Raw genomic sequence first — 14,312 nt, forward strand, 5'->3', positions numbered from 1 at the left:
GCTGCTGGGAATATACAAGGCATGTGATTTCAGATGTCAGTGATTTCAGGTGTGGCTTTAAATAATACGACACGTGATCAGAAGGGATCCCCCTTATATTTCTGTCGCTCTGCCTGTCTGTGACATGGGGAGTGTCTGTTTCGTATGAGTATCTTCACCCCTTTCCAGCACTTGTCAAGCTTCCTTTTCAACAAAGAGAGCAGCCGCAGGCTCAGACCCCTGGCAGACACACGGTCTCCCCACAATTTAATCACTTTTATCTGGTTCTTGTTTCTGTTTTTACTGTCCTTCTGTGTAAGGTAAGCATCCATTTTCCATTGAAAGTAGTGACATTACAGTTTTTGAAAGCAGAACATTTTTATATAAATTGGGTCATTTCAAGATAAATAAAAAGTACATGATCCATTACAAAATTGCCAAGGTGGAACTCAGGCGAATGAAGTGAGAGACTCGCTGACCCAGTATATCCCTCATTCTACAAAGAGGAACCAGAGGTCTCTAAAAGACCTCCGTGAGCCTAAGCTGATGTCCACCTGCTTGCTGTCCTGTGTAAAAGTCATCAGCAATGGACCCTAGGCAGGTGAAGAAAAAGCACTAGAGCTGCTATGGCCAAGACATGAAATGAAACTTTCCAGTGGGCAGTGATGTGTCACTAGCACCGCGGCAGCAGCGCTGGGGGATGCAGAGCAGGAGGGGAGAAGTACCAGTGCCCTCCTGGCATGCAGCTTACCTGGGCACCAGCTGTGCAGGCCAAAATCTGACCAACATGGGCCAGGTTTGAGCCCTTCCCCGTACTCCAGGAAGATGCTTTATCCTTCTGTCCCAACCAGGGCCACAGGACCTGGCCACCCTGTGGGCCCACTGGTTAGCTCTGGCCAGAGATTGAGTTTTAGAACCAATTTACCTGTTTCTATTCACCAGCATATGTCATACTTGACTCAAGAACTACAGCCAGGTGCAGTGGCTTGTGCCTGTAACCCCAGTGACCCTGGAGGCCAAGAGAGAGGATCACTTGAGCCCAGGAGTTTGAGGCCAGGTTGGGCAACATAGCGAGATCCCGTCTGTGAAAAAAATAAACTAGCCAGGCATGGTGGAATGCACATGTAGTCCCAGCTACTCAGGGGGCACTGAGGTTGGAGGATTGCTTGAGCCAAGAAGTTTGCTATGACTGCATCACTGTACTCCTGCGTGGGCAATGGAGAGATCCCATCACGAAAGAAAAGAAAGAAGGGAAGGGAAGGGGGAAGAGGGAAAGGAAGAGGGGAGGGGAGGAGGGAGGGAAGGGGGAAGAAGGGAAAGAAGAGGGGAGGGGAGAGGGAAGGGGGAAAGGGAAGGGAAGAGGGAGGGAGGGAGGGAGGGAGGGAAGGAAGGAAGGAAGGAAGGAAGGAAGGAAGGAAGGAAGGAAGGAAGGAAGGAAGGAAGGAAATCACATGCCAGTGGAATAAAAGGGCTGTATTGGTGGATGGTCCTTGCCTAAGAAAACGTGGAGCCCTTGATTTTTCTCTTTGCCAAGATATTTGGAGTAGCTTCTGGCTGGCTTTGGTTTACATCAACCCTCATATTTGGGGGCCAGGCACTTGAAGTTGTCAAATTAACACATCCCAGCTGGGTAAGTCCCCCTGCCGTGTGGAGGGAGAAATCAACCAATCCATTGTACTTAGTAGTGAGTCCAGACTGTATGTGACAGGCACCATGGAGGGTTTGAGGCTTGTGACACAAAGCCCTGGCTGTCAGGTGGTTCCAGTTGGGGTGAAAGATAAGGCATCGCGTATTCTCTGGCACCAGCTAGAGTCCTGGGACAGAAAGGACGCAACAAGGCCCTTGACCATGGGGACTTAGAACTGCTGAGAAGCATCCATTCTGGCTGGATCGTGCCCCTGTCCCAGCTCTCTCCCCATAATGAATGCCAAAGCACATTCCTTGACTAAAGACCCCCACAGCTGCTCCACAGCTGGACTAGCCTTTGGCCTCCCCTTTGTCATGGTGACAGGAAACAGGAAAAATTGAGGAAGGCAGTGATTCTCAACCTCGACTGCTTGTTAAGAGTCACCTGGGGAACTGAAAAGCACAGACCTGTTCCTGCTTCCTCCAAGCCCACTGAAGCAGTGTCTGTCATGAGGGGCCCTGGTCTCACCTCTGAAAGCTCCACAACTGACTCTGGTGAGCAGCCAGGGGTGGGAGCCTCAGGGTAAGGTCTGACAACCAGGACCCCATTTGGATCCCCTGCTCATGCTGAGCCCACTTAGATGGCAGCAGCTGGGGGAATCTTGACGAAGGTGAAGTTTAGGACTGGATTAGTTCTCGCCAAAGACCCACTGGACAACTCACGAAAGGCCAGGGATGAAGTGCAGTCTCTAAAGTGGTGCTTTGGGCTGGTGATAGGCTGGGGAGCACCTAACCCCCAAGTGTGTAAAGCGGCTGATTTGGCAGGGATCGCAGGTAGCAGGTAGAAGGGACCAAAGAGATGGGTGTGCCTCTCAAGTGTTTCTCTTGGTGTAACAGCAGGGAATAGTCAATGAGGCATTCAGACGAAGTGAACACACAGAGAGATAAGGGAAAAGGTGTCCAGAATAGAAGAATCCACAGAGACAGACGGATGGGTTGCCTGGGATGGGGAAGGCGGGACTTGGGACTGGCTAACAGGTACACAGTTTCTTTTGCGGGTGATGGACATATTCTGGAGTTACACAATAGTAGTGATGTTTGCATAGCACAGTAAAATACACTAAATCCACTGATGCGCACTTTCAAATGAATTTTATGGTGTACAAATTTTTATCTGCCATTTTTTGATACTGGCAATTTTTTATCTCAATAAAAAAAAATCAATGCAGTTAATGCACCACTGTGAGGAGGGCCGCAACCCCAGCACAGGCGCCTCCCCACCATCACACTTGGAGAAAGTCTATGAGCTGGAGAGTAGGTCTGCGTCCAGCTCCCATGCACTTGACACCTAACAATGAGTGCTGGGTTTGAAGAGAGTTTTCTTTTTTCCTTTTTTGAGACAGAGTCTCACTCTGTTGCCCAGGCTGGAGTACAGTGGCCCAATCTCATCTCACTGCAACCTCCGCCTCCCAGGTTCAAGCGATTCTCCTGCCTCAGCCTCCCGAGTAGCTGGTACATGCCGCCACGCCCGGCTAGTTTTTGTATTTTTAGTAGCAATGGGGTTTCCCCATGTTGGCCAGGCTGGTCTCAAACTCCCGACCTCAAGTGATCTGCCCGCCTCAGCCTCCCAAAGTGCTGGGATTACAGGCGTGAGCCATTGTGCCTGGCCCCCATTTTATTTTTTAACTTTACCAAGAATTGTTTACCATTTTAGAAAATCACGATGTGTTTGTCACCGACACAACATACCCACATGCACTTGCATTCTTTCAGGGGTGACCCCACAATGGGCACAAGCACATAATGACTCCATCGTTTTCATTTAGTGTAGTCGTGCTCAAGCAGTACACACTGAAAGTTTATTCGTACTTTTTTTTTTTTTTTGAGACAGAGTCTCGCTCTGTCACCCAGGCTGGAGTGCAGTGGCTCGATCTCGGCTCACTGCAAGCTCCGCCTCCCAGGTTCACGCCATTCTCCTGCCTCAGCCTCTCCGAGTAGCTGGGACTACAGGCGCCCGCCACCATGCCCGGCTAATTTTTTGTATTTTTAGTAGAGACGGGGTTTCACCGTGGTCTCGATCTCCTGACCTCGTGATCCGCCCGCCTCGGCCTCCCAAAGTGCTGGGATTACAAGCGTGAGCCACCAGGCCCGGCCCTTATTCGTACTTTCATGTGTCCTTTACATTAGAGCTAAGGCATTATGTTTATTAATTGCTTAGGTACGTTTTGTTAGCAATCTCATTTTGTGATAGTAAAGGGGCATTGGAAAATAGTTGTTAAAAAGCAGGTGTTGAAAAGGAGTCTGGTGGGTTGAGAGCACTGTTCTAATCTTCCCAAACATGGTCCCGGGGAGACCGAGGTGTGGACCGGTACTGCCCTCTGGTGGCCGGGGTGGGAGAGACCCAGCAAGCACAAAGAACCCAGGGAAGAAGGGCCAGATGGTTTGCAGTGGCTCAAAATGGATGGAGATAAAAGATTCACCTTCTCCTCTGGGAGGATTCTCCACCCGCCCCCACCCCACCCCACCCCCGCCCAAGTCTCCATTCCCACCACCAGAAAAATTTCAGATTAAACATTTTTCTCTCCTGTAAAATGAGGGTATCACCTGCCTCGTAAGAATGAAGTCTTTTGGCTCTGATAGCTTAGCTCCCCACCGAGTCTCTGTCTTTCCACACCCCTTTCCCCAGCCCTTGGGCAGGTTACATCAGGCAGAGCCTAGGATGAGGTCCCTGAAGCATGGGATGACCCAGCAATCAGCTGAGCAGCCGGCTCTGGAATCAGGACCCAGAAAAACATGGGCTCAAGGCATAGCACTGGCGTAAACTAGCTGGGTGACACAGATAAGGCAGCCCTAGGGGATGTCACTAGATGCTGCCAAGGTCCAGTGCTCACATCCTGTGCCTCTCTAGAGTCTGCTCTGATAAGCAAACTATTTTTCAGTGGACAGAGTACAAGAACCAGGAGGAAACTATAACAAGCTGACTTTAATCAAAGACACCATCCACCAGGGATTTTAATTTTCTGAAACTGTAATATGCAAGTTTATTATCCCTTCACTGAACAGCACATCTGTTCAGAATATATCTGATCAAAGATATATTCAAGATCAGGGTATTAACTGTATCATGGGCCAGCAATTACCACGGAATTAGGATCTGATTAGGCATTCAGCCAATAAGCTGTGTTGAGCATCAGTGTGTGGAGTTGTTTCAGCCCAGCTTCACAGAATCTCATGTGTGAAATGTGAGCTGGTGCTGATTTCCTGATGATCATCATTCCCTCCAGCAGAGTTTCCCCCCAGCAACCTACCCTGGATGCTGTGCAAATTGAAGTCCACTTTGTGGGAGGTTGAAGTCACTGGTCATCACTTAGGAGGACCCCAGACCTGATGTTGAGTATCTAACACATACCTTAATCAGGGACCCAATCAGATGGTGCCTAAGGAAATGCCCTCAACCCATGACAGTCCATGGCAAGACTTGCAAATTTGATGGCCAAAGAATGTGACCAACACTAGTGGGATATGGGAGACTGAAGACTGTGACAAAATTAAAAATGCACACACTATCTGAATAGGGCAACAACTATGCAGCTCCAGACCAGATAACACAGGAACACAATCTGCCCTGAACAAGTTGGGTTGACTGCTCACTGTATAAGGAAGAACACACACCTCCAAAAACTGCGCGAAAGACTCAGTAAGATGTCAGAAAGGATTTAAGGTTTGGTTGCATGATAGGTAGTCCTGAGTAGGGTTCAAGGAAGCAGGGCTCTCTAAATGGATGCTGTCAGAAAGTGGGGGATAACTGGTTATCTTAAGAAAATATGCCGGGTGCGGTGGTTCACGCCTGTAATCCCAGCACTTTGGGAGGCCAAGGCGGGCGGATCACAAGGTTGAGAGATAGAGACCATCCTGGCCAACATGCTGAAACCCCATCTCTACTAAAAATACAAAAATTAGCTGGGCATGGTGACGGGTGCCTGTAATCCCAGGTGCTCGCGAGGCTGAGGCAGGAGAATTGCTTGAACCTGGGAGGCGGAGGTTGCAGTGAGCCAAGATTGTGCCACTGCACTCCAGCCTGGTGACAGAGAGAGACTCCGTCTCAAAAAAAAAAAAAAAAAAAAGTAAAGTGTGAAGAAGGAAGTGAAGCTAAAGCTATAACTGGTTAAGAAGCACATTAACAAGGACAGGGAGATGTCTGGTCATTTTTGCATCTTGGAAAATGCTCATGTTTTTCGGTGTTGACATGACTAAAGAAATGTTCCTTTGTCTTGACCCACCACGGCTGAAAAGCAGTCTTGTTCTGATGTAGGTGTCCTGTGAAATTGTGTATGCTTAGCAGGACATGAAGGCCTAGCTTTTAACACCAGGCCAGCATCTGGATGACAGGAACTACATTTTTCTTACTGTCAGATATCATTGTCACTGTCACTAAGATCTTTTAGGCCTCAATTTGAAAGTTTGGGACACATTATCTTTAGAATCACCAGGAGTTCAGATGGGAGGATTTAACTTCCCTTCTCAAAAAAATTAGAATTTGGTAGGTTTCCCACCCAAGGGCCAGGTTGTAGTAGCTGACCTCTACCCCGAGGCCAGATGGTTGAGTGACATGGACTAGTGGACTAATGTCCCAGTACATATACCACTTCCCCTTCCATCACTTGGCCTCTTGTGGTTAACCTATGTGGAACTGAAGACCTTGAGAAGTTATCCCATCTCACCCAACTCCAGCCAACATATTTGTCCAAGAAGTACCCAAGGGCCTATGTAAAAATGTCTGTCCCTGCTTTAGGGTGTATTAGTACTTCATTCCTTTTTGTTGCTGAATAATATTCCACTGCATGGATATACCACATTTTAAGAAATGGATTCACCAGTTCATGGATATTTGGGTTGTTTCCACATTTTTGATATTAAGAATAATGCTGCCATAAACATTCATTCGTGTACACGTTTTTTGTGGGGACATATTGTTTTCACTTTTCTTGGGTATATACATACCAGTGAAATTGCTGGGTCAAATGCTAACTATGCAGTTAAATCTTTTGAGAAACTGCTGAATTGTTTTCCAAGTAGCTGCCCCATTTTACATTCCCACCAGCAATGTAAGAAGCTTCCAATTTCTCCACATTCACCAACACTTGTTATTGGTCTGTCTTCATGATTACAGCCATCCCAGTGAGTGTGAAGTGGTATCTTCTTAAGATTTTGATTTGCATTTCCCTAGTGATGAAGAGCATCTTTTCACATGCTTATTGGTGATCTGTTCATCTTCCCTGGAGACATGTCTATTCAAATTCTTTTTATTTTTAAAAGTGTCTCTTCACTGTTGAGTTGTAAAAGTTCTTTATCAGATATATTACTTGCAAATGTTATCTTACGTTCTGTGAATTGGATTGTCTTTGTACTTTCTTCATCATTTCCTTTGAAGCAAAAAACCCTAAAGTTTGATGAAGTCCAATTTACCTATTTCTCATTGGTTGGTTGTGCTTTTGGTGTCCTACCTAAAAAACCACTGCCTTACCCAAGGTCACAAAGATTTACACCTATGTTTTCTTCTAAGAGTTTTTTGCTTTAACTCATGTCTTGGCTCCATTCTGAGTTACTTTTCGAATAAGAATATGCATTTTAACAAGGTCCCAGGTGATCTGTATGCACAACTGAAGCTGAAAACCACTGCCTAAGTCACACCCTGGCAGCACATTACAATCACTTTAAGAGCTTTTAAAATGTATGCATGAGCCTCACCCAGATACAATTCCACTTAGTCTGAGGTGGCCTTATTTTTTAATCATTTTAGCTGATTCTAATGTGAAGCAAGGGTTGAGAATTACCACCTCTTTGCTGATTAACATTTTTTGTAGCCCTCAACTAATTCTTCAATTTCATGAGGATGTACACAAAGTTATCACTTGCCTCACTGTCTAATCAATATTTTCCATCTTTAACTTATTTAACAAATGATGTCTTTAACATCATTTATACATTCTTTCCATATGGATTTCACCCACATGCTTTTATTAGGCTGGTTTGTACCCACTGCTTATATGTGATACTGAGACTTCTAACAGTGCTACATTAAAATTGGGATCAGCATTCACAGTGCACACGGTACAAGAGTATGAAGGAGGCTTAGTGTCTGCGGATATGATACAAATCACACCTTCATTAAGACTAGAGAATGGAAGTCATACTGGGTGATAGTGTATGAGGGTGGAGAAGACATAGAAATGAGAAGAGGAAGTAAAGAACTTCAACAATTTCCTGGGAAAACCAAAGATCTCAGTTGGTCAAGAGCATGCTCTACAATCAGCAACATTTTAGTATCTAGTATCATGTTATCTTTAAGCCATAATTTGTCCTTGGTCTTTCTAGGTTTTGTTTTTATTATTTTCTTGAAGGAGAAGGGTGGGAATGGGTAAAACATTCTGGTCTTCCTTTTGCAAATCTAGAACCACAAAACCAATTACAAATTGCGACTCTTGCTATAAACAAAAATAACTCCAATTTATCAGTGACCTAAATAGAAGAGCTAAAACCAAAAAACTCTTAGAAGAAAATATAGGGGGAAGCAATGTATTCTTTGTTTTTTTGGGTGGGGGAGCGGGGGACAGAGTTTCGCTATTGTCACCCAGGCTGGAGTGCAGTGGTGCGATCTTGACTCACTGCAACCTCTGCCTCCCGGGTTCAAACAATTCTCCTGCCTCAGCCTCCCAAGTAGCTGGGATTACAGGCATGCACCACCAGGCCCAGCTAATTTTGTATTTTTAGTAGAAACAGGATTTCACTATGTTAGCCAGGCTGGTCTCAAACTCTGACCTCAGGTGATCCACCCGCCTCAGCCTCCAATTTTGTATTTTTAGTAGAAACAGGGTTTCATTATGTGGGCCAGGCTGGTCTCAAACTCTGACCTCAGGTGATCCACCCACCTCAGCCTCCCAAAGTGCTGGGATTACAGGTGTGAGCCACAGCGCCCAGCCTAGCAATGTATTCTTAGCTGCAACACCAAAAGCACAAGCAACAAAAGAAAAATAGAAAAAGACTTCATTTCTCCAAAGGTATGCAAATGGCCAACAACATATGAAAGATGCTCATCATCATTAAGTCATTATGGGAATGCAAATCAAAACCACAATGAGGCCTGGTGCTGCTCACACCTATAATCCCAGCACTTTCGGAGGCCAAGGGAGGCAGATCACCTGAGGTTAGGAGTTCGAGACTAGCCTGGCCAACATGGTGAAACCCCGTCTCTACAAAAAAATACAAAAAATTAGCTAGGCGTGGTGGCACATGCCTGTAGTCCCAGCTACTCAGGAGGCTGAGGTAGAAGAATCATTTGAACCTGGGAGGCGGAGGCTGCAGTGAGCTGAGATCACACCACTGCACTCTAGCCTGGGCAACAGAGCAAGGCTCTTGTCTCAAAAACAACAAGAAAACAAAAAAAAACTCACAATGAGATCCCACTTCACACCTACCATGATGGCAGTAATTAAAAAAACAGGGAAGGGAAGTGGAGGAGGAATGAAGTGTTGGCAAGATGTAAACTGGAACCCAAACAACGCCGGTGGGAATGTAAAATGGTGCAGCCACTATGGAAACCATTCAGTAGTTCCACAAAAAGTTAACAATGGAATTACCATTATGACCCAGCAATTCCACTCCTACATATATCCCCAAAGGAAATTGTGAAAGGAAAATAAATCTTACAGCCCCAAAACTACTAAGCTAAAGAGAAAGTCAAGAGGGGAACTGCTTAGGGCAAACCTGCCTCCCATTCTATTTAAAGTCACCCCTCTGCTCACTGAGATAAATGCATATCTGATTGCCTCCTTTGGAGAGGCTAATCAGAAACTCAAAAGAATGTAACCATTTGTCTCTCACCTACCTGTGACCTGGAAGCCCCCTCCCCATTTCAGTTGTCCCACCTTTCTAGACGGAACCAATGTACATCTTACATATATTGATTGATGTCTCATGTCTCCCTAAAATGTATAAAATGAAGCTATGCCTCAACCACCTTGGGCACATGCTGTCAGGACCTCCTGAGGCTGTGTCACGGGCGTGCATCCCCAACCTTGGCAGAATAAACTTTCTAAATGAACTGAGATCTGTCTTAGATTTTTCAGGTGCACAAACTGAAAACGGAAACTCAAACTTGTAGGCCAATATTCATTGCAACATTGTTCACAATAGGAAAATGGTGAAAAGGGTCCATCAACAGATGAATGAATAAAATGTGGCATAAATATACAGTGGAACATTATTCAGCCATAAAAAGGAATGAGATTACACAGTACAAAATGGATGGACCTTGAAAACATAAGTCAAAGAAGCCAGACACAAAAGGCCACATATTAAATGATTCCAGTTATATAAAATGTCCAGAATAGGTAAATCCAGAGAGACAGAAAACAGACTTTGCAGTTGCCAGGGGTTGGGTGAGGAGGGAATAGGGATTGAATGCTTACTGGCTACAAGGTTTCCTTTTGGGGTGATAAGAAAGTTCTGAAGGATGGTGATGTAGTTATACAACATTATGAATATACTTAATGGCACTGAATTGTACCCTTTAAAATGGTTACAATGGTAAATTTTATGATATGTATACTTTACCACAGTTAAAAATTTAAAAAAAAAAAAAACCTGTAGGGGTCAGGCCTATCTCCCTAACCTTGTGGCAGGAAGTAGACTAGCATGCATGCTTCCCTTTGGACAGTTTCCCAAACGGGTTCATAGTTATGCTTAGTTCCTTCTACACTATTCAACAAGCAGCCATGTCACTACTTCCCTTAGAAAGGGAGGAACAGTGGAGAAGAAATGTGTACCCCTCCAACATTTTCCTCCTTCTGGGATTGCAGTGTGTGATAAAGATGCTCACAAATTATTTGACATCCTTCCCAACAAGCAGTGGGGTCTTCAAACCCTCCTCTTAAATTTGGGGAAGCTAAGACTGCTTGGACAATAGAATACTGGAGATATGACACTGGGCCAGTTAGGAGCCCAGAACTTAAAAAAAAACAGCACTTTTCATTTTTCTTAAAATACTTATTTTTGAAACCCACCAGTCACGTTGTAAGGAAGCACAGTAGCCCTATTGGAAGGTCCATGTGGAAAGGAACTGAGACCCTGAGTGCACTCCCAGATAAAAGCAGGCACTAATTTAACATCCATGTGCATAATAAGCCCTCTTGAAAGTAAATTCTCCAGACTCAGTCAAGTTGGTCCAACTGTATTCACCAAGCCCTGCCAAAATTGGTCACTCATGAACAAAATGAATGATTTTGTTCTAAGCCACCAAGCTGTGGTGTAGTTTTGTTATAAAGCATTAGATAACCACAACACAGTGGAAATTCCCTCCCCGCTCTGTAAAATATAAGGAATTGAAAATGTGTCTGAAATACCTTTTTAAAAAAATCTGGCTTGAATACCCAAGTGTCTAGTATATATCCCATTAAAGAATTAGGCTCCCACACTCAGCTTTGGTCTTTGAGGGAAACTAATGAGAGCTCCTATATGTGTCTAGCCTTGTCTAAGCATAAAGTGGTAAGCAAGACAGCTGACTGGAAGTCAGAAATACTCATGTTATCAGGCACAGGCTGGAATTACAAACTGAGGGTGTGCTTCACCACTGTCCGAGCTTAGAGGAAATCTCAATTTTGTTCAATGAGATCTTACCCAAGCAAAAAAGCTGGGAGGGGTGCTTTTCCTATACTTCAGAAAGGGCTGACCATGAAGTGTAGTTCAGATGGGCTGGGCAGGTGCCACTTCTACTGGCAAGAAAAGGCAGACCCAGCTGAGGCAAATGATGGCTGGAAAGACAAAGAAACCCTCTCTCTCACATCTCAGCCCATGTAACAAAGGTGCTGATTTTATTTTTTAAAACCTCTTCCGGGAATCAAAAGCTGGCAGTAACTCGTTTCTCTCTGTACATTTCTCTCTTTTGGTAGAAAACAATTACCTGGGCAAGTCCCCTCCCCCATGCCCCACACACTGGTCATTACAATTAAAATAAAAACATGCTGTAGTATTTCCCATCTTAAAAAAAAAGGCATACTTCTACACCACCACCACCACAGCAACCTCCCCACCGCTACTGCCCCGTTTCTCTCTCTTCCAAACTGTGCCTCCTGCCAGTCCACTCTAACCACAATTTTACCCCAACACTCTAAACCGCTATAGTCATAGTCATGAGGGTCCTTTCTTTACTAACGGCAAAGGGTTAACACTCAATCCATGATGAGAACCTGAGGCAGCAGTGTATTGAACCACTCTCCTTCTTAGTAAGTTTCATCATCCGCTTTCAGGACCTCTCTTAACTCTCACCTTATGAGCTATCTGTTCCTCTCCTTTGGAGCTCCTCCACTTGTCTCAACGTCTTCACTTAAATGTTCCATCAAGTACATTCAACTTAATATGTCAACACCAAAATCCTGATTTCCACTCCTTCTCCTGTCTTTCTACCTTGTTTGCCTTGCTTGACTCCTCTCTTGCTCTAAACTTCACACCTCTATTATCAGTCAATCCTATTGGCTCTACCTTCAAAACATACCCCAAATCCAACTTCTTACCACCTCCACTGCCACCAGCCCAGTCCAAGTCCTTGTGATCTCTCACTAGATTATAACCTCCTAAAAGTCTTCCTGTTTTCACCCTGGTTCCTGTAGTGCAGTGGTTTTCATTAGTTGTTTCATTAGTTGTTCAACCTAGGAACTTGTTAGACATGCAAATTCTTCCCCAACTCCATAACTATTAATCACAAACTCTGGGGGTGGGTCATAAAGATTTGTGTATTACCAAGTCCTCCATGTCAAACACCTGAACCACCCCATCTCTCTCCTATTTCCTACCCTGCTTTTCCCCCTTGTTCATCTTGCCCACCCACACTGGATTCCTTGTGTTCTACAAACATACTGAGAAAGAAACAGAAGTTTTTATCTGAGGAATGCAAACCCCTTTAAATTATCAGGCTCAGAGAGGCATTTAAAATGTGACATCAGTCACGTCTCATTCCCTCTTGAGCTAAATAATTACCTCTTGAAGCAAATGACTATGTGGGCTCTGGAATGACACCAAGTAGCCATTAAGATGTCATATAGTAGACATCATAACTTTTACCCTATGTTCAACAGCGTACAGCCAATGGCTAATCAATATTATCTCTGGAAACCAATGAGAATACCTGTCAAAACTTTTATCAGCCCACTCCTTGTTCCCCTTTGCCTTTAAAAACCTGCTTGTACCAAACAGAGTACTCCCCAAGGCAACCTGAAATGGGTCCCTGGCAGCTGTTCTCACTTTGGCTCAAGTAAACTCTTTCGAAATTATATTTTGTGCCTCAGCTTCTTCCCTTTAGGTTGACATACACTCAAGGACACTATTTCAGGGCCTTTTAATTAGTTGTCCTTCTTCCTGGAAAAGTTGTTCACCCCTCCAGATACTCAAGTCTCTGTTCAAATGTCACCTCCTCAATGAGCTGAGGCTTTCTCTGACAACCTTATATAAAATAAGAACGCCACCTTCCTGACCTGGTCTCCCCACTATGCAGCATTTTTCACCAAAGCACTGATTACCTGGCAGGCAATCTGTATGTTTTCCTATCTCCCTACATTCTACTATGTAAACCCCATGTGGACACAATCTTGTTTTATTTGCTGCTATACTCTGAGCAACTGGAAAAGAACCTGGCACTCAGTAGATGTTCAATAATTTGACTTTCTGACATAATAGTTGCCTATGAGAAAAGATACAGAGAAGTTGAAGAGGAACAACTGATGTTACTTAGGTAATTGCCAAGACAATTTTAGAGCAGAAAAATAAAAAACAAAACAAAATGCTACAAGGTGAATGGGGGGAGCAAAATGCAGCAATTGACAGTAAAGACTAAGTATGAACAGTTAAGAGTTTCCCAAACACTGGATCAGCAAAGTTTAGGACGCCTTCAGAACTGAGCCCAGAAAGAATGGTAGGGTTTATAGGAGCCAAAGTAGATAAATACCATGTGCGACACCAGAGAAGGGTAGATACACGAAGTATAGGAAGGGTGTTCATTGTATACAGCATCACCTTAAAGAATAGTTAAAAGATGGTCTAGTGAGACTGGAAAAAGCTGATAAAACTTTAAATAGACTTCTTTCATGCAAGACTTCCTGTTAATTGTAATATAATATTAATCTCTATGAGAAGAAGTACAATATGCAGTATTTCCCTGCATTAATCACAGAGTCATTTTTTTTTGTTAATCATGTGTATGTCATTGCACACACGGCTTAGCTTCACTTTTGTCACTAGCATATTGTTATCCATTGTTATATTTTGTTGTGATATATGCCTATTAAATTAACATAGTAAGAATAAAAGACTCTTTTCATTATTATATTTAAACCAAGTCTGAAACTCAAGATTCTAAATACACACAGAGGCCAGGTGTCATTTATCTGATTTTTCAATATTTGCTAGACTTTGTTTAGGATATCGCAAATATTATAACTGGGAAATAAAATCCTGAAATGCTATTTTCACTACCCCATTCTTTATTCAATTTGTACTAAATATTATCACTCAATATGAGAACAATTTAAGCCTACAGTATTTTAAACATCCTTTAAGTGCTGATAAGAATTTTAAGTATTTTGAACCCCTTAAGATGTAGATATTTATCTTTAGACTTAGACCTAAATAAACATATTAAAAACAAAAACCATACCACT

The sequence above is a fragment of the Homo sapiens genome, chromosome 9, assembly GCF_000001405.40.
Source record: "Homo sapiens chromosome 9, GRCh38.p14 Primary Assembly".
NCBI lineage: Eukaryota > Metazoa > Chordata > Mammalia > Primates > Hominidae > Homo > Homo sapiens.